The sequence below is a fragment of the Homo sapiens genome, chromosome 6 (genome assembly GCF_000001405.40).
Source record: "Homo sapiens chromosome 6, GRCh38.p14 Primary Assembly".
Lineage (NCBI taxonomy): Eukaryota > Metazoa > Chordata > Mammalia > Primates > Hominidae > Homo > Homo sapiens.
The window spans coordinates 7,312,183-7,336,564 of record NC_000006.12 but is presented as its reverse complement, the minus strand read 5'-3'; the positions used below and the strand labels follow the sequence as shown (position 1 = coordinate 7,336,564).

Genomic DNA, 24,382 nt, shown 5'->3' with positions numbered 1-24,382 from the left:
GCATTCCAGTCTTGGCGACAGATCAAGACTCTGTCTTAAAAGAAAAAAAGAAAGAAATACACTCATGTCATTAAATGCAAATCAAAGCACTCATTATACTCCATTCAGTGGTGCTGCTTTGCTTGCCTAGCTCTCAGCAGAGTTCTCCCATGGCCTCTACGGAGGACATGACTTCCTCCAAAATAAACCAAGGACTCCATTTAGGTAGGCTTAGATTATAGCTTCTTGCGTGCAGCTCTACACATGGGAGTGCAGTGTCAATATATTCCACTGCTGCTATGTTGCACACTTGGAAAAACTTTTCACTTTCTTTCCTTGGGTATCTCCCTCCTTCAGGAGTTGGGCTCATTCTTTTCAATTCTAGAAATACAGAAGATTTATTCCATGTTATTTCTCTGATGACAAAGCATGATAGACTCAGGCTTTTGGTATACACAGAGTCTGTTTCACATTATCTTCTGTTCCTGGGTTTGACAACTTCTCTTTATCCCTTTAAAACAAAAGCCTGATATCTCTGAAAGAAAGAGTATAACTTTCAAAATGACAATCTACAAGTTATATTCTAGGGTATATGTGTTTTGTCCATATAATATTTAACACATTTTTTTTAAATTAATTGCCAGAATTGAAAAGGGAAGATAATTCTGTAAAAATCTAGATTTATATCTCCTCTTTAAAAACAAAAGTAGGCTGAGCATGGTGGCTCATGCCTACAATCCCAGCACTTTGGGAGGCTGAGGCGGGAAGATAGCTTGAGGCCAGGAGTTCAAGACCAGCTTGGGCAACATAGCAAGACTCTTGTCTCCACAAAATAGTAAAACAATTAGTCAGGTGTGGTGGCATGCACCTGCAGTCCTAGCTACTCAGGAGGCTGAGAGGATTGCTTCAGCCCGGGAGTTTGAGGCTGCAGTGAGCTGTGATTGCACCACTATATTCCAGCCTGAATGACAGGGTGAGACTCTGTCTCTGAATAGTAAAACTTTAAAAATAAATAAAACAAGAAGATCTGATCTCACGGCTGCAGCATTCTCACATGGCAACATTTGGCAAGAGCTAAGTAGCAACTTCTTTTAGGCAGGGCCTAGGAGTGTATGCTCTTTGGTTTGTCTGAATCACCATTTAGCTGGCTTCGCTCATTTCACATACCTGCCTGACCCTTCTACAGGCGTTTGAGTTTAGACCTCTGCAGTAGAATTTCATATCCTCTCAGGTCTATTTATCCTTTATAGTAGGCCGAGGAATGGCCCAAAGATATCCAAGTTCTAATCACTAGAACCTGTGACCATTACCTTATATAGCAAAAGAGCCTTGCAGATGTGATTACATCTTGAGTTGCGGAGATTATTTTGGATTATCTGAGTGGGCCCTAAATGCAATCACAGGGGTCCTTATAAGAGGGGGGAGGCAGAGAGAGATTTGATGACAGAAGATAAAGAGTCAACATGACAGTGGAAACGGGGAGAAAAGGTGGTGTGATGTGGGGCCAAGCCCCCTCAGGAATGAGGACGGCCTCCAGGTGCTGGATGAGGCCAGGTGAAGGATTCTCCTCTCGAGCTTCTAGAGGGTGGACATCCCTGCCAACACCTTGATTTCAGGCCGGTGAAGCTTCTTTTGGACTTCTGACCTCCAGAAGAAAATAAATGGTGTTTTAAGCCACAGAATTTGTGTTGATTTGTTGCAGCAGCCACAGGAAGCTCATACAACCTCTCTGGATGGAAAAATGGGTTTGTGACAGTCTTGTAATGCTATCACATATTTTCCCATGTTAAGCTGTTTCTAGCTCAGGGTTTTTTGGTTTTTTTCTTTTATTTTCTTTCTTTCCTTTTTTTTTTTTTTTTTGAGAGAGAGTCTAGCTCTGTCCCAGGCTGAAGTGCAGTGGCACGGTCTTGGCTCACTGCAACCTCCACCTCCTCGGCTCAAGCAATCCTCCCAGCTCAGCCTCCCAAGTAGCTGGGATCACAGGCATGTGCCACCATGCCCGGCTAATTTTTGTATTTTTGTAGAGACAGAATTTCACCATGTTGCCCAGGCTAGTCACGAACTCCTGGGCTCAAGAGACTCGCCTGCCTCAGCCTCCCAAAGTGCTGGGATTACAGGTGTGAGCCACCATGTCTAGCCAGGAGTTTTGTTTTTAACATGTTACCCCCAGGATCATATTGGATTTACTCATATAGAGGGATCAGTATGAGTAAACCACTGTGTAAGCAAATGGGAGAATATCTGAATGCTGCTTTACATATTTGCTACTGTCTACTTTCCTTCTTCACCACTGGAACCTATAAAGGGAAAAACTGATAGAATAATTTTGAGTTGCTAGGAAAGAATCCCAAGTTTCTATATGGTTAGGTGGTTGGATAGCATATAGATAATTAGATTACCTATTTTTACCTACTAAAATCCTCCAGTGAATCTAACAAAATATTGGTCTAGAAAAGTCCATTTTAGTCATAAAATTCAATTGTTTCTTCTTTCAGTTTGGAAGAGAGAAATAAACATTTAGAGGATTTAATTAGAAAGCCCAGAGAAAAAGCCAGAAAACCAAGGTAAGTTTCCCTTTATTTTTAAAATTAATAATGTCTTTAAAATATAGGTAATATGGCCAAGTGCGGTGGCTCACGCCTGTAATCCCAGCACTTTGGGAGGCCAAGGTGGGTGGATCACCTGAGGTCAGGAGTTCGAGACCAGCCTGGCCAACATGGCAAAACCCCATCTCTACTAAAAATACGAAAATTAGCCGGGCATGGTGGCACGTGCCTGTAATCCCAGCTACTGGGGGGCTGAGGCAGGAGGATCGCTTGAACCTGGGAGGCGGAGGTTGCAGTGAGCCGAGATCGTGCCACTGCACTCCAGCATGAGCAACAGAGTGGGACTCTGTCTCAAAAAAAAAATGTATATATATATATATATATATATATATATATAGATAGTTAGATAGATAGTTAGATAATACTTAAAAAAAAAAACTCTTTTCCTTATCTCAATTTAAGGTAAACAAGATAATTATATGAAAGTGCTTCATGTTTTGCCTAGCATAAAGTAGTTGCTTGATTAATGTTTTTTGTAGAACCTAAAATGGAAAGCCAGATTCCCTGCTTTCATGGAATGTACAGTCACTCTAAGGAAGAAACTATAAAGATTATGGGCTAAGATTTTTGTCTACAACAAAACTACTTGCCCTGCTCTGTATTTTATCACCATATTTTCTTACAGTAACATTAAGCCTCACAGTCTGCTATTTTAGAAGAGGCTCAACATCTGATGCTACAAGATGTATGCGCAAACCCTGTGTGGTTGATTAAGAACACAGCAGTATAGGCAGGGCACGGTGGCTCATGCCTGTAATCCTAGCACTTTGGGAGACTGAGGCGGGTGAATCACTTGAGGTCAAGAGTTCAAGACTAGCCTGGCCAACATGGTGAAACCCTGTCTCTACTAAAAATACAAAAATTAGCCAGGCATGGTGGTGGGCACCTGTAATCCCAGCTACTCAGGAGGCTGAGGCAGGAGAATCGCTTGAACCCGGGAGGCAGAGGTTGCAGTGAGCTGAGATCGTGCCACTGCACTACAGCCTGGGCAACAGGGCAAAAACTCCATCTCAAGAAAAGAAAAGAAAAAAAAAAGAACACAGCAGTATGTTAAAATGAGACTCTTTCTAGCCCAGTTCCTTAGGTGCTAATAACACTGTTACCAGTTCCCAAAGTGAGAGTGAGTTTTTCCCATGTGCAGAGTTTCCGAAATAAATGATTTCAGAGAACCCCTTCCATGACTCCTATCTCTTGGCCAGATCCAAGATATAAAAGTATGGAGAGTAGGGAAGATTGGAGAAGGATTTCTTCGAATCTGTCGTGTCATGAGTTCCTGTCTCCCAGGTAATTCTACCTCTTTTACCTAAAGCCTTATGAGGAGTTTCCAGGGAATCACCTAAAGAGCTTTGAAACGTGTTCCCTAAAAGTTGGGAAACACAGAGGACTGGTGATTCATTCATGCCTAAGAAAACTAAGGCAAGCTGTGGCTGCTCAGCAGAGGGGCTGTGTTGGATAGCTTTTCTCTCTGAGCTTGTTGAGACAAAGAATGGGTGTGAAAATCCCTTAAGAACCATGCAGTTGAGAGTTGAGTTATCTTCAGCTCTGCCCAAGGAGGCCTGGAAGCAGCAAGAAACTAGAAGAGAATGCCAGATTCTTCGGGGCTGATAGAGTATCGAGTGATCACCCAGAGGAGAAATGCCTCCGCGTAGGTCCTGGGAACTGCAGGACAGAGATCCCCAGCAACGGCAAGCTCCAAAGAGAAAGAATCAGCATTAGCCAATTGCCAAGCTGAGACTCTGAAGCCACCCAGCCAAGTATGAGCTGTCCTGTGGCCTTTGCTCTCCTCCTACAAATGGAGAGGGAAATGAGCAAAAAGGGGAAACTGGCCTCCAAAGACAGTGGTGTCCATCAGCTACAGACCTGAACTGATAGATGGGGAGGAGAAGCCCTGCTTTTGAGTGAAGATTAAAGGATTGATTAATATTAAGACAGTACAGTATACCTAATGAATTGAGACTGTTTATGCCTCACAGTGAAGACTGTTACTTTAGAGTAAGCAAAAGAAGCATTGGCCCTGCTGTGTATTCACCCAAGGAAGGGCAAAGGAAAAGCTTCTCTGAGTGCAAAAAGCTTAAAGTAGAAATGGAAGACCAAAATTAAAGTTGCATTTTGGTTTTGTCATAAGTCATGTTTGTTCAGCATACCATTTGCAAATACAACTGTTTTGAAAATCGGAGGCCCATTCCTTCAACCTCTGCTGCCACTGCTGCCACTGCCACTTCCCAGGAGGAGAGGAAGCGGGAGAGGAGCCCAAGTCTCCTGTCACCCAAGTCCTCCAGCTGCACCACCTCGAAGAGTTTAAGATGTTTGCCTATGCCAAGCTCGCCTGCACCCCCGCTCTGAAGTTCTATCTTAAACAGCGTAGAGTTGCATACAGACCTGGAGAGGGCTCTGTGGTATTTAATGGGGCCCAGAATGGTGTGTCTCAGCTAAACCAAAGAGTTTCAAACCAGGGCAATCAGCAGAGACATTGAGACTGGTGTGAAATGTAACGGTGCAGGCACTGCAACATTAGGAGTGGCTGGTTCTGCTGCTGGTATTGGAACAGTCTTTGGTAGCCTTATCATTGGTTATGCCAGAAACCCTGCACTAAAGTAGCAGCTGTTCTCATATGCTGTCCTGGGATTTGCCTTGTCCAGACTTACGGGTCTCTTTTGTTTGATGGTTGCTTTCTTGATTTTGTTTGCCATGTGATAAACCACTGCTTGACATGTTGGCAGTCATATTAATTACAGATGTAATTCTGTGTATCTTACCGTGACCCCAAAAACTATAGTGTTGGTGTCATGGAAATGTACGTTATTTCCAAGGTCATTTCATTAAAGATGTAAAAAAAGAAAGAGAGAAAGAAAATAGAAAACCCTTGGCAGATTTAAACTAGCATTTGCAAGTGATAGGTTAACTATGACTTTTTCCCCAAAATGAAAAAATGTGATCTGATCCTTGGCATACCACAGATGCTCAGTAAATGCTAATTTATACTGAAGATGGATCTTCTCTGAGTTGCTGAGAGAAACAATGGAATTTTTTTCCTAGGCTTATTTTAAAATAAGAAAATTTAAATATGAATTTACATGTGTTTCACCAGTTCAGACCTCTGTTTACTTATATTTGGCCTATTTTCACAATGGAGTCTAGGCCCATTTATATAGATTTAGACTGGCCTAGAAGCCAGGGGGTGAGATGGGCAGAAGAGCTCTCAAAGCCCTTTCCAGCCAAGAGGACATTTGTTAGAAAACTCCAGACCTACATCAGCTTTCAGCCACCACCCTCTGTGAAGCCTGTGATGACTGGCCCAATTGATCTCAGTATATTCGGCACTCAAACAAGCTTCAGCTTACTCTGCAGCCTCTCAAAATTATGGCATTGCTTTTGCCAGTTGTCTTCAGTAGTGGAAATAGTGGGAAATAAGGATACAAAAGCGAGTATCTGAATAGCCTCAGATGTTTTATTTTTGCCTCTAGTTCTTCATGACTTTCAAGGAAATTCATTAAGTTTTCAAGTCAGAATCGTATCCTAAGTAAATCTATGAGAATGTTAAATGTAGTGAGAGTGTGCCTCATCGTTATTTTATTTTATGTATTTTTTTATTTGAGATGAAGTCTCACTCTGCTACCCAGGCTGCAGTGCAATGGCGCGATCTTAGCTAACTGCAGCCTCCACCTCCCAGGCTCAAGCAATTCTCCGCCTCAGCCTTGTGAGTAGCTGGGTTTACAGGTGCGTGCCACCATGCCCAGGTAATCTTTGTATTTTTGGTAGAGACAGGGTTTCACCATGTTGGCAGGGCTGGTCTTGAACTCCTGACCTCAAGTGATCCACCCACCTGGGCCTCCCAAAGTGCTGGGATTACAGGTGTGAGCCACCGCAACCTGCCTCATTGTTTTTATTTAAATGCACTGAGAATGATTCACATGTTATATACCAAAAAGCTTGATCTTAATCTCTGAGGGTCTCATAGTTCTATCTTAAATGACGATTTCTCCTTGAAAGTGAGGGGAAAATATGCTAAATAATGGCAACTTGCTCACCATGTTCACTATTTCAGTCCCCCCTTCCTCCTTTTTACATTATTTTCTTTCTATTTCTTACAGATCAAAAAGCTTAGAAAATCATCCGAAGTCCATGACCATGGTAGGTCACCTTGATGATCATGATAAAGAATCTTACATTTCCATGTAATTTGACAATAACACAAGATTTAATAGGAGTTCCTGAAGTCACATTTCCATACTGTGCAACCTAGCCTTCCCCTCTGTCTTCAGATGAGGGCTCTTCCGTCTCCTGTCATAGCTGGTGCTATAATTGGAAACCCCTCCCTCTAATCTTGTAGGGCTCCTTCACACCATCCCCACTGCTACTCCTTCAAGCCCCTGTCGTTTCTCATATGACCTGTTGCACTCACCTCCTAATTATTGTTTCTGCCTCCAGTTTTGGTCCCCTTCATGCCATCCTCCATAGAGTAGACAGAGTGATCTTTCAAAAGCAAAATATTTTCATGCCCCTCCGTTGCATAAAGCCCTTCAGTGGTTCCCAATCACATTCTGGATCAAATCTGAGCTCCTTGGCGAGGCGTATAAAGTCCCCTATGATCTGGCTCCAGCCCTCCTATCCAGTCTTACCGTTCACTGCTTTCTCCTTCTCATCATGCATATTGGCCACATCTAACCAACTGCAGCTTTCTAAGCAAGCGATTTTTTTTTCTTTTCTTTTTAGTTGGCATATAACTTGTACATATTTATAGGATACAGGCTGGGCGCGGTGGCTGACGCCTGTAATCCCAGCACTTTGGGAGGCCGAGGCGGGTGGATCACTTGAGTTCAGGAGTTCAAGACCAGCCTGACCAACATGGGGAACCCTCGTCTCTATTAAAAATACAGAAAATTAGCCAGATGTTGTGGTGCGTGCCTGTAATCCCAGTTACTTGGGCAGCTGAGGCAGGAGAATAGCTTGAATCCAAGAGGCGGAAGTTGCAGTGAGCCAAGATCTTACCACCGCACTCCAGCCTGGGCGACAGAGAGAGACTCTATCTCAAAAAAAAAAAAAAATATATATATATATATACACACACACACACACACACACACACACACACACACACACACACACTTATAAGATACAGAGTAGTACTTCCATGCATGTGCACAATGTGTGATGATTACATCAGTGTAATTAGCAAATCTATCACTCCAGACATTCATCAGTTCTTTGTGTTGGGAGGATTCAAAATCCTCTCTTCTAGCTATTTGAAAATATCCAATAAATTATGGTTAACTCTAGTTACCCTGCAGTGTTACAGAACACTGGGACTTATTCCTTCTATCTAGCTGTCATTTTGTATCCATTCACCAACTTCTCCCTATCCTCCCCTCACTGCCCTTCTCAGCCTCTACTAACCATGGTTCTACTTCCTACCTCTATGCATGGTATGTCATTTCTGTGCTTTCCTGTTATTGCTCATGCAGCTTCTCCTACTTGGTATGTTCTTCCCCAACTCTTTCTCTCAGTTACTCAGTTCCCACCTCACAAACGCCTGTCAGCTCAAGCTCTGCCTCCTCTCTGAAGCTTTTCCTGCTCTGTCTCCCAAATGGAACTGACTTGCTTCCTCCCATGTGCTCACACTATACCCTTTGACGTAATAGCACCTATGACACAGCATTACAGTTCTCTGCTTGCATGTCCTTTGACTTGACTAGAACTCTTTGAGTACAGGAATTGTCTCATATTCATTTTGATATCCTCAAGTACCTATCTCATAAAAGGTACTAAATAGGAGTGAATGTTAGACTTGGGACCCAGGACCAATGCTACACTTGCTGGAGTGATCCCAAACAGCAGACACAGCTGCTGCCACCTCTGTCCCATTCCAGGACATGGGTATGTTCATAAATGCCGTGGCCTATTTGTAACATAGCTTTGGGGATGAGGGGACACTCAATAGGGCATGCCTCCATATGCTGCCATTGAGACCCAGCTTTTCTCATAGTTGAACTAAGAGGGTGCCTTAATACTGTCAATGGTTATTTATTTATTTATTTATTTATTTATTTTTTAGACGGAGTTTCACTCTTGTTGCCCAGGCTGGAGTGCAATGGCGCAATCTCGGCTCACTGCAACCTCCACTTCCGGGGTTCAAGTGATTCTCCTGCCTCAGCCTCCCGAGTAGCTGGGGTTACAGGCAGGTACCACCACGCCTAGCTAATTTTGTATTTTTAGTAGAGACGGGGTTTCTCCATGTTGGTCAGGCTGGTCTCAAACTCCTGACCTCAGGTGGTCCGCCTGCCTCAGCCTCCCAAAGTGCTGGGATTACAGGCGTGAGCCACCGCGCTCAGCCAATACTATCAATTTTTAACTATGCCATGCTGCTAAATCACTTTTGGATTATTCAGATTCTTGCTTCTATTCCTTTTTCTACATCTGTCAATTGCCAACCAAACCAAGGAAGATGAAACTCAATCCACATTGTTCTTCATGGTGTTCCTTAGTGGGAAAAAGGTTGAAACAAACAAACAAAAATATCAGTTAAAATATAGTGTTGGGGGCCAGGTGTGGTGGCTCACACCTGAGCTCACAGCTGAGGCAGGTGGATCACTTGAGGTCAGGAGTTCGAGACCAGCCTGGACAACATGGCAAAACCCCATCTCTATCAAAAATATAATCCTAGCACTTTGGGAGGCTGAGGTGGACAGATCACTTGAGGTCAGGGGTTCGAGACTAGCCTGGCCATCATGGTGAAACCCCGTCTCTACTGAAAATACAAAAAATAGCCGGGCATGGTGTTGAGTGTCTATAATCCCAGCTACTTGGGAGGCAGAGGCAGGAGAATCGCTTGAACCTGGGAGGCAGAGCTTGCAGTGAGCCGAGATTGTACCACTGCACTGCAGCCTGGGTAACAGAGTGAGACTCTGTCTCAAAACAAACAAACAAAATATAGTGTTGGTATTATCTGTGGAATTCATCTATCTATAGGCTTACTTTGCACCCCTTTTCCATATGTAATAAAAAATTGGCTGTTTAGGGGTTCTGTCACTGAATGTTAGTCTTTCCCCAAAACTTACGAAACATTTTTCCTTTCATTTTTAGATGCCAGCTCTTTTTAAAGAAAATAGAAATGATTTAGATTAAACAAGCCTGAAGATTAAACAGTAATCATTTTTGTCAACCACTCCAGGAAGAGTCATTACTACATATGCTAGCCAAATCAATCCATGCAGATGATATATTAAAATCTGTATAAAGGGTAAAGTCTTACATTCCAAAGATGTGATTACTTTTCTTCTAATTTCTTCCTGTGAATAATCAAATATATTCTATTTAACATAAACAGAAGAATACAGTGGTTTTTTGACCAAATATTCTCACAGAATACCACTCCCATATTATCAGGCCTTTAATGATGCACAAAAATAGTCATGGATTTCACTTCAACTTTTTATTTCCTCTGCAGGACATCCTTTTTCTGTCCAGGCAGGCAGATTCTTCATAATACCAACCAAATTTTAAAAGACACCAACTCTGAAATCCTTTGGAATTATAACGCAGATAAAAGAGCCTGGGTGGCCAGGCGCGGTGGCTCATGCCTGTAATCCCAGCAGTTTGGGAGGCCGAGGCGGGTGGATCATGAGGTCAGGAGATCGAGACCATCCTGGCTAACATGGTGAAACCCCGTCTCTACTAAAAATACAAAAACTTAGCCAGGTGTGGTGGCGGGGGCACCTGTAGTCCCAGCTACTCGGGAGGCTGAGGCAGGAGAATGGTGTGAACCCGGGAGGCGGAGCTTGCAGTGAGCCCAGATCGTGCCACTGCACTCCAGCCTGGGCGACAGAGCAAGACTCTGTCTCAAATAAAATAAATAAATAAATAAAGAGCCTGGGCAACATAGGAAGAGCTCATCTCTACTAAAAATCAGAAACATTAGCCAGGTATGCTGGCAAGCACTTGTTGTCCCAGCTTACTGGGTGGCAGGGGAGGGGAGTGTGGTATAAGGGGGTGGGGATGGGAGGTTGCTAAGGCAGGAGGACGGCCTGAGCCCAGGAGGAGGCTGCAGTGAGCCATGATCATACACCGCACTCTAGCCTAGGCAACAGAGTGAAACCCTGTCTCAAAACAGAAAAACCCAGATGAAAGGAAAGGACTGGTCTCTTAAGACCTAACCCTTATAATTTCCACTTTCACATAGTTTTGAGGAATTAGTTCCGAATTTAAACAAAGGAGCCAGAGAGAGCTGATTTTGTGAGATGCACTAGAAAAATAAATGTATATAACATACATATTATCCTTTTGATAAATCCCAGAACCGGACTGGAGGTATAGCTATTGATCAAAATATGCCTTACGGCTGGGCACGGTGGCTCACGCCTGTAATCCCAGCACCTTGGGAGGTCGAGGCAGGTGGATCACTTGAGGTCAGGAGTTCGAGACCAGCCTGGCCAACATGTTGAAACCCTGTTTCTACTAAAAAAAAATACTAAAATTAGCCGGGCATGGTGGTGAGTGCCTGTAGTCCCAGCTACTCTGGAGGCTGAGGCCAGAGAATTGCTTGAACCTGGGAGGCAGAGACTGCAGTGAACTGAGATCTCACCACTGCACTCCAGCCTGGGCAACAGAGTGAGACCCTATCTCAAAAAAAAAAAAAATAAAAATTATATATATATATATATATATATAATATATACATATAAAAATATATATATATACACACACACACCCCTTAGGTGGAAGAGAAAAACTATTTTATCTCACTAAAGTTAGTTTTGCACTTAAATTAGATAAATACGAGATGAAAATATATGTAGAGTATATATCTGGTCCTGAAGGAAGTGGTGAATAAATAAAAGCTATTATTATTGTTGTCATGGAAAGGATGGGGTTATTAGTTAGCTGTGGGAGTGGAGAGAGAAGGGTCTAGGAAGCCTAGAAGAGCTCTGGATGAACGATGTAGAGAAGACCAGAGGGATAGCTGGTTTGTAAGGAGAGATACCCTGAGTTTGAGGTAGCTGTGAAGCATCTTGAGTGGAGGTATTTCATAAGCAGTTATGTATATGCTGAGAAGTGATCAGGGAAGAGACTGAAGATCAAGGAGAGAGAGGGATCATTGATGAAGCAAGATGTCAGAGGAGAAAAGAGAGACTAGGCTCCACAGCACAGCCTAGGGACAGGGACAGCTCTTCCTCTGAAATCAGGACAGGCATGTTCAGGGCAAACATAAGCCGTGGTGTAGTAAGTTGAGGGAGCTCATGGCCGGGAGTGTCACTCTCTTCTTGTAGTAGGGGGACGGAAGAGAGAAGTGAAAGTTGGAAATAGCCACAGCTTCTGCCTTCACAGAGTAAAGCTTTGGCTCTCACCACAGGAGATTGCATGGGGACGCAGTTTCCTCTCCCGTCTGTGGACTTACGCACTTTCCTCTTTTTTCCTCTGGTCTGTTTGGTCTCTTGTCCTCTTGACTCTGACCCATCGTATCTCCTTGAGGATTTGCTCCGGCAATCATTTGTATCTTCTCACACCTTCCTTTATAACTCTTCATTGAACCCTACCCTAGCCTTTAAAAAATATCCTTCCTGCAACCCTTTTCTTTTCTAAAGCTATCATGGTTCCTCTCTTTTCACTCCCCATGATAAACCTTCCAAAAATTGTTATTTGCAGTTTACAAGGCACTTTCACACACTATCCTAAGTAGGTTATCTGAACTCATAGTGTTTCTGATAGCTATTTTCCTGTATCTCCAGTCTTCATAACTCTGATTTTTGAAGGCTGTATAATATTTCATGGATATGTGTCATAATTCACTTAAATATATTTTATGGACAGGTTTTCAAATCCTTACTCCATAGTCAGTGTTCATTGCCTTCCATGCTCTGGGCCCAAACTTCTGTGCCTTTCCCCATATTGTTTCCTTTTTTGGGAATGCACTTTCCTTGCCCACTAAAAGCTCTCCTTTCTTCACATCCACCATGCAGTACCTCATATTTAAAACATTTGTACCCTTTGAGATCTAATTCAGATCTCACCCTCATCCTCATCTGAAATGCCTCTTTCGTCTGTTTTATCTGACTTTTTAATGGCACTTAGCACATTCTTCCCTAAATTATAATGCAGGAGAGATAGTACGGAATAGGAAAAAGAGCACTCGACAGGGAATCATAAGATTCAGATTCAAACCCTGGCTCCTCCATAACATCTGTTTTAGGAAACTAAGTTCATAGTCACTCTAGTTTAAGAAGAGTTACAGGACTGTGCTAATATTGTTTAAGGATATAAATGTTTTGTATATTATGTTCTATCTTTCAAAGATCGTTAACATTCGCCTATATAAATGCAACTCTTGGTAAGAGTGAGCCGCCTATATAATTCAAATCTAGCAGATCCAGTCTGAAAAAAACTGCAAAGGACTTTGGGAATTAGTATGAATTATGATTGCACCTTAGGGGTAAGGTGTGAAACTGGACAAAGATCATCCTGTATTTAGCAAGGTTAAATGTGCATGAAGAACAATTAGAATATATTTTTATAAAAGTCTAGTGGGCACAATATGGTAAAAATTCAACACTATAATACAGTGGAGGATTCTTATCATAAATGGGGCCAAGGGCCAAAGAAGGTGCTGGGAGAAGAGTTTTCAATTTTCAAAATTTCACAGCAAAGCTGCTCCACTGGGCATGTCTCCACTTGTTTGATGGGAGGATTTGATCCCCTAATGAAAGAGTGTTGGTAACTGGAAGAAGAGGCATAAAACCTATAGTACATAAATACACAAGTTATTACCACCAATAAATGTATTTTCTATACTCTTCCCTTTATTGAGGGATGATTTATGTGCTGTAAAATTCAACTATTTTAAGTATACAATTCAGTGATTTTTAGCAAATTTATATAGTCATGCAATAATCACCACAATCTAGTTTTACAATATTTCCATCACCCCATCCCCAAATTTCCTCCATCCTATTTGCAGTCCGTCACTGCTCCCACCCCATGTTTCCCAAGGATTCTGATCAATCTTCTTCCTGGGGAACATCCAAGAGAAGGGTTGGTAGGACAAACTGTGATCAACTGCTGTGTTTGAGCTTGAGGCATCGGGGCTGCTACCTGGGAAAGTTTTAGTATTCTGCTGTCATCTCCTATGAACTATCTAGTTTTTGCAGGGGCAAGCTGGCAAATTAAACTGGGATTTAACACAGACCACCACCCCTTTGAAGGTGACACACACCTCTACCATTCCCCACTGATGTGATTGGTTTGTATTTTTAATTTTTAATTTTGGCTGCGGAGGGGAGTAGTGGTGGTATTCAATACTAAATGGCAGTTGTGGTGGTGCTTCAGGGCTCTTTGTCATAGGAACCTGACTTCTGCTTCAGTTCTGGGATTGATAATTGGGTCAGGCCCAGTGGAGGAAGGGGAGCTGTCTAAATTCGTTCCTGCTGCTGTAACAAAATACCTGAGACTGGGTAACTTATAAAGAACAGAAATTTAGGACGGGCGCAGTGGCTCACACCTGTAATCCCAGCACTTTGGGAGGCCAAGGCAAGCAGATCACGAGGTCAAGAGATGGAGACCATCCTGGCCAACATGGTGAAACTCTGTCTCTACTAAAAATACAAAAATTAGCTGGGCGTGGTGGCGCACGCCTGTAGTCCCAGCTACTCGGGAGGCTGAGGCAGGAGAATCGCTTGAACCCGCGAGGCAGAGGTTGCAGTGAGCCGAGATTGAGCCACTGCATTCCAGCCTGGCTACAGAGTGAGACTCTGTCTCAAACAAACAAAAAAAGAACAGAAATTTATTTCTCACAGTCTCAGAGTTTAGAAATCTGAGATCGAGGTGCCAGTAGGTTCGGAGTCTGGTAAAGGCTGCTCTCTGCTTCCTTGTTGCTGTGGCCACCAGAGGTGATGGATGCTGTGTCCTCACATGGCAGAAAGAACGCAGGTCGGGTGCAGTGGCTTGTGCCTGTAATCCCAGCACTTCAAGAGGCTGAGGTGGGTGGATCACTTGAGGTCAGGAGTTCAAGACCAGCATGGCCAACATGGTGAAACCTCGTCTCTACTAAAAATACAACAATTAGCTGGCTATGGTGGCGCATGCCTGTAATTCCAGCTACTCAGGAGGCTGAGGCACAAGAATCACTTGAACCTGGGAGGCGGAGGTTGTGGTGAGCTGAGATCGTGCCACTGCACTCCAGCCTGGGTGACAAAGTGAGACTCCGTCTCAAAAACTAATAATAATAAAAAATCAAGACTGGCAAAAAGGGCCTAGCTAGTTCTCTCCAGAGCTTTTATATGGTTGCTGATCTCATTCATGAGGGCTCTGACTTCAAGACTTAATCACCTCCGAAAGGCTCCTCTTCTTATAATATTATCATGTGAATTTTAGGGGACACATTCAGACCACAGCAGTATCAAAACTTTTTATTGGGATGACTGCCCTCAGCCTCCTGGTTTTTCTTGATTTCTTTTTTTCTTTTTTTTCTTTTTTGAGATGGAGTCTCGCTCTGTCTCCAGGCTGGAGTGCAGTGGCACAATCTCAGCTCACTGCAACCTCCACCTCCTACATTCAAGCAATTCTCCTGCGTCAGCCTCCCGAGTAGCTGGGACTACAGGCACGTGCCACCACGCCTGGCTGATTTTTGTATTTTTAGTATAGACGGAGTTTCACCATGTTGGCCAGGATGGTCTCGATCTCCTGACCTCGTGATCCACCTGCCTTGGCCTCCCAAAGTGCTGAGATTACAGACGTGAGCCACTGCGCCCGGCCTCTTGATTTATTTAATTGTATAAACTAAACAATGCTGTTGTTGGGTGCCCATCTGTCTTGCCTCTAGGAAGGCGTTTTATCAGCTATTACCATAACTCTCTACAGGTTACTCCCCTTGCCCGTTCCCCAGCCCCTCTCCCCTATTCTGACCCTGCAGAATTGTGAGCAGTGTGCCCACATTGTTGCTGACCATTAGGTGATGCCGTCTGGCCTCCATTCCCATCCTTACTCCCACTGCTGTCAGTGCAGTTCCATTACGGCATCTCTTGCCCTGAGCCCAGACCTCCAGAGCACAGCTGACCAATGTTCTTCTCAGCCCCTCTCACCAGTGCATTTCTCATCGCTTTGGTAAATGGAGTGTCCTCTAAGGCCTCTTACAGAATATAAGCAGGTGAGTTTCCCAGCCTTATGTAGTACAGTTATCCCTCAGTATCCGAGGGGGACCAGTTCCAAGACTCCCAATGTATACCCAAATCTGCGGGTGCTGAAGTTCCTTAAAATGACATATTATTTGGCCAGGCGCAGTGGCTCACGCCTGTAATCCCAGCACTTTGGGAGGCCGAGACGGGTCGATCACAAGGTCGGGAGATCGAGACCATCCTGGCTAACACGGTGAAACCCCATCTCTACTAAAAATACAAAAAATGAGGCAGGCATGGTGGCGGGTGCCTGTAGTCCCAGCTACTCGGGAGGCTGAGGCAGGAGAATGGGGTGAACCCTGGAGGTGGAGCTTGCAGTGAGCCAAGATGGTGCCACTGCACTCCAGCCTGGGCGACAGAGCGAGACTCCATCTCAAAAAAAAAAATGACATACTATTTGCACATAACCTACACACACCCTTCCATATACTTTAAATCAGCTCTAGATTACTTATAATATCTAACATAGCATCAATGCTATGTAAACTGTTATACTTTTATTTGTATCTTTATTGTTCTGATTTTTATTTATTTTCCAATATTTTTGATCTGCAGTCAGTTGAATCCAAGAATACAGAACCTGTAGACACAGAGAGTAGACAGTGTGCCCATTCTAGCAGGCCTATATTTAGGTGCCAAGCAGAGAAGAAGGAGGGGTTGCTGAGGTGGAAGGAAAACCAGAAGCATGGATGTCGGTGAGCCTCGAGAAACAAGTGCTCAAGAATGAGAGGAGGAAAGGCTCACATGAGGGCCATTAGACCTAGCAAATTTTAGTGAAGTGTTAAAAATAAGAGCACAGTTGGAATAGACTGAGAAGAAAATGGAGGGGTAAAATACTGATGCTTTACTGTGTCAGGGAGCGGAGAAATTAGACTATTGCTGAAGGGGAACCAAGGCCGAGAGAGTTTTTTTTTAAAGACAGGGAATATTATATTTGTCTGTTGATGTTCAAATAATGAATTAGAGAAGTAGAAATGTATTGTGAGGGAGAAAAGAGGGGGCTATTTTCAGAATCTCATGTCCTTGAGCAGGAGATGGGATCTAAACCACAAATGGTGGTTGGCCTTTGATGGGCCTCTAAACATCGTTTTATTGTAACTGAAAGGACTGATGGCTCATACCTGTAATCCCAGCACTTTGGGAGGCCAAAGTGGGAGGATTGCTTGAGGCCAGGAGTTGGAGACCAGCCTGGACAACATAGCGAGACCCCATCTCTACAAAAAAAAAAATTTGCTGGGCATGGTGGTGTGCCTGTAGTCTTAGCTACTTGGGAGGCTGAGGCAGGAGGATTTACTTGAACCCAGGAGTTCAAGGTTACAATGAGCTATGACTGTTTCACTGCACTCCAGCCTGGGAGACACAGCCAGACCCTATCTCACAAAAAAAAAAAAAAAAAAAAAAAGGCAGAGCCTGAGCACAAGGATGCAAGTAAGTGGGGGGTCTTGTGGTGACTGATCAGGTAGTTATGACTTCATCTGTTCTTTTCTATGAAGTATGTGCTGGGGAAGGATTGGAGGCCTTCCTAAGTGAGGAGGTGGGCTGGAGAGCCAGCACTCCCTTTAAAGTCGTTCTTATTTCTTGTTTCCTTTCCCATAGTGCCCTCTTTTCATAAGGATTATAAAGGAGTTTTTTTCCTTGGAGGTATAGTTCACAAAAGCTAATTCTTTTTTTTTTTTTTTTTTTTTTGCCCTTGCTACATGAAAGAATGCTTAAGCGTTTGCTTATATATAATAAACATAATGTTTTTGGGGTTTTTTACTCAATGTTTTTTCATTTCTTATTAGGTTTACAATCAAACTTGGGTTCAAATTTATGGAGGAAAGATGTGACTTGTAACAACACTATACCTTCATTGATTCAACAAATACTTACTGAGTTCACACTGGTTGTCAGGCACCCTTCTATAACATTAAGACACAAACTCCCTGGCCACAAGATGTTCACAGGTGACCAACAGGAGACAGGCTGAACTATATTGTGAGAGGAGATAACCAGTACTATGAACAAGAGGAGAACAGAGGGAAATGGAGAATGTGGGGGCAGGAGGGTTGGAATTTTAAAGCAGAGGTCAAGGTAAGCCTCACTGAGAAGGTGACAGTTGAGCAAAGATTTAAAGGACATGAGCGGCTGGACGCAGTGTCTTACACCTGTAATCCCAGCACTTTGGGAGGCCGAGGGGAGGGGGGTGGATCACTTGAGGTTAGGAGTTCGAGACCAGCCTGACCAACATGGTGAAACCTCGTCTCTACTAAAAATACAAAAATTAACCGGGCGTGGTGATGGGTGCCTGTAATCCCAGCTACTCTGGAAGCTGAGGCAGGAGAATCGCTTGAACCCAGAAGGCAGAGGTTGCCATGAGCCGAGATTGTGCCACTGCACTCCAACCTGGGTGACAGAGCAGGACTCCATCTCAAAAAAATAAAGGACATGAGGGAGTTTCTTGGCCACACAGTTACTTGGTGGGGGTATAAAAGAACAAACACGAGTACTTAACAAACACATTTGTGAGTGATGTGGAGGGAAATCTTAAGTAATCAAAGGGAAAGAATCCTCTGCTTTTACACATTCTAAGGGAATGAAATGACAGATGTGGAGAATCAACTACGGATTTGTCTGAGGTCTGTGAAGGAGAGTCACCAGGATATGGAATATTCCCTGAAAAGAAATCCCTTCAAAGAGATTGGTACAGACATGGGGAGAGATTTGGAAAGACTTAAATAAATTAGTAAATGGAATTCATAATTCCATAAATTAAGGATTGGAACCAAGTAGGGCAGAGAGCTCTGGGTGGGCACCAAGGAAAAGCTGCTTATTACGGGAAGAATGTGGATCACAGTGATGCAGAATTGGTGAGCACACTGGTCAGGGTGAGCCCCTTACTTCCTTGATCACAGCTGTCATTTTTTAATACTAATTGGACAGTCACACAGGTCTTCTGTTTTCTGTTTACATGTTATTTTCCCTAAATTCATCACATCAGTAATATCTCGAGTAGGCACACTTTATTTTTCCTGTTGTACCAATAGTAGCTGGTTGTGTAAAATTCAAGTCCCAAATAAAATCCGATAGTAATCGATTGATGACATCATCATTGGAGTGGAAGTCACAGGTTAAGCCTAAACTAAATTATCCTTACATGTTCAGGCTACGTCTAAACATCTGAGAACCGGTGAGACAGACCTACTAGGAATCTCTTTACCATAAAGAATGAGACGTCGTCCCCTTCAGTAATCAGTCCTCTGAATGGGGAAAGCAAGCCAGTAAGACACGGTGGTGCCGTGATGGAGAGCAGGTGTGATTTTGAGTACAGCATGAAGTCTGTAACTTCACCATCTATTACAGTTCCCATCAATTGTTTTTGGTGTTAGGAGAGAGTAGCAAGTTAAACAGAAAGATGTATTTGTCAAAACACCTGTCAGACATCAACAAGCTCAGAGCAGGTCTCATTTGAAACTCATGAAAGGGTGCCTCAAAGTAGGGGAGGGAGATTATGCTGAGTCAGTGGAGAACTCTGTAAGGTACAGTCACCTCAAAGCAGGGACAGCGTGCTGGCAGTCCTTGCTCGCTCTGGGGGCCTCCTCGGCCTTGGCGCCCACTCCAGCAGCGCTTGAGGAGCCCTTCAGCCCGCCGCTGCACTGTGGGAGCCCCTTTCTGGGCTGGCCAAGGCCAGAAGCGGCTCCCTCAGCTTGCGGGGAGGTGTGGAGGGAGAGGCGCGGGCGGGAACCAGGGCTGCGCGCGGCGCTTGTGGGCCAGCGCGAGTTCCGGGTGGGCGTGGGCTTGGCGGGCCCCGCACTCGGAGCGGCCAGCGGGTCCGGGCAGTGAAGGGCTTAGCACCTGGGCCAGCAGCTGCTGTGCTCTATGTCTCGCTAGGCCTTACCTGCTCCGCCGTGGGGCAAGGCTCGGGACCTGCAGCCTACCATGCCTGAGCCTCCCCGACGAGCGCCACCCCCAGCTCCACAGCGCCCAGTCCCATCGACCACCCAAGGGCTGAGGAGTGCTGGCGCACCGCGCGGGACTCGCAGGCAGCTCCACCTGCAGCCCCGGTGTGGGATCCACTGGGTGAAACCAGCTGGGCTCCTGAATCTAGTGGAGATTTAGAGAATCTTTCTGCCTAGCTGAGGGATTATAAACACACCAATCAGCACTCTGTATCTAACTCAAGGTTTATAAACACACCAATCAGCACACTGTATCTAGCTCAGGGTTTGTGAATGCACCAATTGGCACTCTAATCTGGTGGGGATTTGGAGAATGTCTAACTAAGGGATTGTGAATGTACCAATCAGCACTGTGTCTAGCCCAGGGTTTGTGAACACACCAATTGACACTCTGTGTATAGCTAACCCAGTGGGGACATGGAGAACTTTGTGTCTAGCTCACCAATTGAAAACACACCAATCAGCTCTAAAATAAACCAACCAGCAGAATGTGAAGCCAAATAAACGGAAAAAAAAGCAGGCTGCCTGAATCAGTGGCAACCTGCTCAGGTCCCACTCCAGTGTCCAGAATTGGGGGCTCATTAGCCTCCCTGACTTAAAGAATGAAGCTACAGACCCTCACAGTGAGTACTACAGTTCTTAAAGGCAGTGTATCCGGAGTTTCTTCCTTCTGGTGGGCTTGTAATCTCACTAGCCCAAGAGTAAACCCACAGACCTCCACAGTGAGCGTTACAGCTCTTAAGGTGGCATATCTTGAGTTATTCATTCTTCCTGGCGGGTTCGTGATTTCCCTAGCTTCAGGAGCGAAGCTGCAGACCTTCATAATGAGTGTTATAACTCATAAAGGCAATATGAGCTTAAAGAGCAAAAGAACAGATATTTTCCCAGCATGGAAAGAAACTGGAGCCTGTTGTCGCTGCTAAGCTCAGGGCAGCCTGCTTTTATTCTTATCTGGCCCCACCCACACCCTGCTGATTGGTAGAGCCGAGTGGCCTGTTTTGACTGGGCACTGATTGGTGCGTTTACAATCCCTGAGCTAGACACAAAGGTTCTCCACGTCCCCACTAGATTAGCTAGATACAGAGCGTGGACGCAAAGGTTCTCCAAGGTCCCACCAGAGTAGCTAGATACAAAGTGTCGATTGGTGCATTCACAAAGCCTGAGCTAGACACAGGGTGCTGATTGGTGTGTTTACAATCCCTGAGCTAGACATAAAGGTTCTCCACGTCTCCACCAGACTCAGAAGCCCAGCTGGCTTCACCCCGTGGAACCCGTACTGGGGCTGCAGGTGGAGCTGTCTGCCAGTCCCATGCCTGTGCACCTGTACTGATCAGCCCTTGGGTGGTGGAAGGAACTGGGCACCGTGCAGCAGGGGGTGGCGCTGGTCGGGGAGATTCCGGCTGCACAGAAGCCCATGGGGTTGGGGGAGGCTCAGACATGGTGGGCTGCAGGTCCCGAGCCCTGCCCCGCGGGAAGGCAGCTAAGGCCCGGTGAGAAATCGAGCACAGCAGCTGCTGGCCCAGGTTCTAAGCCCCTCACTGCCCCCCGCCTGGCCCAGTTGGCCGCTCCCACTGCAGGGCCCGCCAAGCCCACGCCCACCCGGAACTCGCACTGGCTGGCAAGCACCGCGCGTAACCCCAGTTCCCGCCCGCCCACGCCTCTCTCCACACCTTCCCGGCAAGCTGAGGGAGCTGGCTCCGGCCTTGGCCAGCCCAGAAAGGGGCTCCCACAGTGCAGCGGTGGGCTGAAGAGCTCCTCAAGTGCCACCAAAGTGGGGGCCCAGGCAGAGGAGGCGCCGAGAGCGAGCGAGGGCTGAGTACTGCCAGCATGCTGTCACCTCTCAGAAGCTTTGTTTTTTGCAATAAATCTTGCTGCTGCTCACTGCCTTTATGAGCTGTAACACTCACCGCGAAGGTCTGCAGCTTCACTCCTAAAGCCACCGAGACTATGAACCCACCAGGAGGAATGGACACCTTAACAGCTGTAACACTCACTGCGATGGTCTAGTAGCTTCACTCCTGAGCCAGTGAGACCATGAACCCACCAGAAGGAAGAAACTCGGAACACATCCGAACATGATGAAGGAACAAACTCTGGACTTTAAGAACTGTAACACTCAGCACGAGGGTCTGCGGTTTCAGTCTTAAAGTCAGTGAGACCAAGAACCCTATTCCAGACACAGCTCTGACATAGAGTGGCAACACTGGTAGCGTGCACAGGAGCAGAGGCAGCAGCAAAGTGAGAGGAGGCCCTCCACTTATGCTGGGCGCCCTAGTAGCAGCAGCAACACAGCAGCGGTGCCACTGGTGGCCTGGCAGAGTGGAATTTGGTTGATTCAGCCCAGCACCATCAGGCTGTGACTTTAGCAGACTGTAGGTAGTGGTGGCAGTGGGTCCAAGCTGCATTTACAGCCCCCAGGACAAGGAGACCTGAAGCGGAAACAATGCAGGAGTAGAACAGCAAATGTCCTAGGTCAGTAGTGTATGGAATCTGGAACCAGATAGCCTTGTTCAAATCTTGCATCTGCCGTTTGCTAGCGTTTTGAAGCTTTGAGTAAATTACTAACCTCTCTGGGTCTGTTTTCTCCTCAGTAAATAATATCCAGCTCATAGAGAGGTTTAGAAAATTAAATGAAAAAGCACAGCTCTAAGGAGGTGATTGACAATAGTAAGCATATGATTTATTTCCTCATCTTTATGACATCTCACTCTGGTCCAGACCAAGATTACTTAATATTCAGATTAATTTCATGAACTGCTATATTACTCCAGCAACTCAAATCCAAAATAGATGAAAAGGAAACTAAAGAAAACTGGACAGCCATTGCTGCACCTATTGTATAGTTACAAATGCTGACTACATACCAAAACACTGTTTAGGTGACTTATAATTCTGGAATGTCACATACGAATTTAAGAATTGCTGGCCAGGCGCAGTGGCTCACACCTGTAATCCCAGCACTTTGAGAGACCCAGGCGGGTGGATCACCTGAGGTCAGGAGTTTGAGATTAGTCTGGCCAACATGGTGAAACCCCCGTCTCCAGTAAAAATACAAAAATTAGCCGGGCGTAGTGGTGCGCGCCTGTAGTCCCAGCTGCTTAGGAGGCTGAGGCGGGAGAATCGCTTGAACCCGGGAGGCGGAGGTTGCGGTGAACAGAGATGGTGCCACTGAACTCTGGCCTGGGCGACAGAGCAAGACTTCGTCTCAAAAATAATAATTTAAGAATTGTCATTACTTAACCATGGGAGAGGGTGTGGGCAGACAGGGGACAAAGATTTTCCACTGTGTATTTTCATGGTTTTTCCTTTGAACAATGTCCTCTCTTCCAACAAAATTTTTTGCTTTTAAGTGCCACATAAAGGCAGCTCATGTTCCTTACATCGCCGTTATCAAGAGGATCGTCATTCAAATAAAGTAACCACTGACAATGCTAATTAATTGGAAGTAAAGAACTGGGCGGAAAGAACGGCTAACCGCAAGCTGCCGGGTCGCAACTGCGGCGGAAGGCGGACTCTCGCGGGAGCCACAAAGAGGCAGCAGCCGGCCACGTGACTTCCCGGTGGCCTGCTCTCCCCACCTCTCCGCGCTGAGCAGCCACGTCGGCGGCGGTCCCTGGTCCAGGGAGGGGCGTGGCAAAGGCCCGTGCGCGGTACGTGTCCCGCCCCTCGCTGCCCGGAGCCCGGATGAAGAGTAACGCCATTACCGCCGGAGCCGCCGAGAGCCTTAGCCGACGGAAACTGGACACTGGACCGGCAGCGCCATGAGACTCCTCCCCCGCTTGCTGCTGCTTCTCTTACTCGTGTTCCCTGCCACTGTCTTGTTCCGAGGCGGCCCCAGAGGTGAGGCTGGGGGAGTGTGCGGAGGGGATGGCCAGGAAGGAGATGCCAGTGATGGCAAGTTTGAAGTTGGAGGCGGTGGCCGCTCCGGGTCCTGGGGTCCGCGTCCACCCCGCTGGCCTCTCTCCGCCCTCTCCCCAAGCCTAGGCTCGTAGCAGCAGGGGTCCCCGCGGGCGCTGGAGACCCCGCTGCGGCCTGCCCCTTGCACGCGGAGCGCGGGGCCGTGCCCGGGCGACCTTGCTTCGTGGCCGGCCGAGGGCTGGGCTTGCTCCTCTTGCCCTGGACCCTCGCCTGCAGGAGCGGCCAGAACTGGAGGGTCCTCGGCTGCAGGAGGAGGCGCTGGACACGGCTGCGCTCCGAGCGCGCCGCAGCCGGGCTGTTTCTTTTGGCCACCTCCGGCTCCGCTCCACCCCCAGCCCCTCGCGCTCAGGGCTGACGTGTCTTTAGCTTCCACGCCGGGAGTCCGTCTTCATTCATTTGCCAAAACCCTTGTTTTCTACACATCTAAGCCATCAGAGTGTCTTGTTCAATGGTCATCTGCCTTGTTCACGCCCTGCTTGACCCGTATGTGTTACTAGGAGGCTTGATTTCAGAAAAACTACCCCATCGTCACCCCCGTTATCCGCCCCTGCTGCCAAGCAGACTGAAGAATCCCTGTGGGATGTCTCCCTTCTGCCTTCTTCCTCTTCTTGTCTTTCCATGGAACAATTTTTTGTTTGTGGAAACATCGTATTGTGCTGAAAAAATGTGGCCTACTTCGAGTGTTTTTAATACATAGATTTATTCTTTCAACAATTAACCCAGCAATTAAGTGTGAAAATAACTTAGCAGAATATAAAAATATGGCAACTTGACTTCCTGC

General features: G+C 45.8%; 2 protein-coding genes across 6 annotated transcripts in view, besides 7 other annotated features; both read left to right on the top strand.

Annotated features, from left to right (window-relative positions):
- CAGE1 (cancer antigen 1) overlaps positions 1-9,906 on the top strand; it is a 63,084-nt gene extending 53,178 nt beyond the window's left edge. For 2 of the 3 annotated variants that reach the window (NM_205864.3, NM_001170692.2), the window contains 3 exons: positions 2,475-2,543; positions 6,677-6,716; positions 9,666-9,906. In NM_205864.3, the coding sequence (NP_995586.1) occupies positions 2,475-2,543; positions 6,677-6,716; positions 9,666-9,707 (151 nt within the window). In that variant the 3' untranslated portion in view covers positions 9,708-9,906. Of the gene's footprint in view, positions 1-2,474; positions 2,544-6,676; positions 6,717-7,298; positions 7,470-9,665 lie in introns of those variants that run through there. The other variant, NM_001170693.2, reaches the window with a different exon arrangement.
- Positions 11,859-11,968: a silencer, noted in NCBI's record as "silent region_16890". NCBI's record gives its function as "represses an Ori minimal core promoter by ATAC-STARR-seq in GM12878 lymphoblastoid cells {active_cell/tissue: GM12878}" and the evidence as "EXISTENCE:reporter gene assay evidence [ECO:0000049][PMID:35858748]".
- Positions 22,467-23,333: an enhancer, noted in NCBI's record as "H3K27ac hESC enhancer chr6:7313465-7314331 (GRCh37/hg19 assembly coordinates)". NCBI's record gives its function as "activates a minimal SCP1, AML or CMV promoter by ChIP-STARR-seq in naive H9 embryonic stem cells {active_cell/tissue: H9 hESC(naive)}" and the evidence as "EXISTENCE:reporter gene assay evidence [ECO:0000049][PMID:30033119]".
- Positions 22,991-23,050: an enhancer, noted in NCBI's record as "active region_23946". NCBI's record gives its function as "activates an Ori minimal core promoter by ATAC-STARR-seq in GM12878 lymphoblastoid cells {active_cell/tissue: GM12878}" and the evidence as "EXISTENCE:reporter gene assay evidence [ECO:0000049][PMID:35858748]".
- Positions 23,061-23,130: an enhancer, noted in NCBI's record as "active region_23945". NCBI's record gives its function as "activates an Ori minimal core promoter by ATAC-STARR-seq in GM12878 lymphoblastoid cells {active_cell/tissue: GM12878}" and the evidence as "EXISTENCE:reporter gene assay evidence [ECO:0000049][PMID:35858748]".
- Positions 23,334-24,202: an enhancer, noted in NCBI's record as "H3K27ac hESC enhancer chr6:7312596-7313464 (GRCh37/hg19 assembly coordinates)". NCBI's record gives its function as "activates a minimal SCP1, AML or CMV promoter by ChIP-STARR-seq in naive H9 embryonic stem cells {active_cell/tissue: H9 hESC(naive)}" and the evidence as "EXISTENCE:reporter gene assay evidence [ECO:0000049][PMID:30033119]".
- SSR1 (signal sequence receptor subunit 1) overlaps positions 23,366-24,382 on the top strand; it is a 32,057-nt gene continuing 31,040 nt past the window's right edge. For all 3 annotated transcript variants that reach the window (NR_120448.2, NM_001292008.2, NM_003144.5), the window contains exon 1: positions 23,366-23,523. Coding sequence is in view for 2 of the 3 variants with exons in the window: in NM_001292008.2 (NP_001278937.1) it covers positions 23,445-23,523 (79 nt within the window). In the remaining variant the exon portion in view is untranslated. The remainder of the gene's footprint in view (positions 23,524-24,382) is intronic.
- Positions 23,621-23,730: a silencer, noted in NCBI's record as "silent region_16889". NCBI's record gives its function as "represses an Ori minimal core promoter by ATAC-STARR-seq in GM12878 lymphoblastoid cells {active_cell/tissue: GM12878}" and the evidence as "EXISTENCE:reporter gene assay evidence [ECO:0000049][PMID:35858748]".
- Positions 23,861-23,910: a silencer, noted in NCBI's record as "silent region_16888". NCBI's record gives its function as "represses an Ori minimal core promoter by ATAC-STARR-seq in GM12878 lymphoblastoid cells {active_cell/tissue: GM12878}" and the evidence as "EXISTENCE:reporter gene assay evidence [ECO:0000049][PMID:35858748]".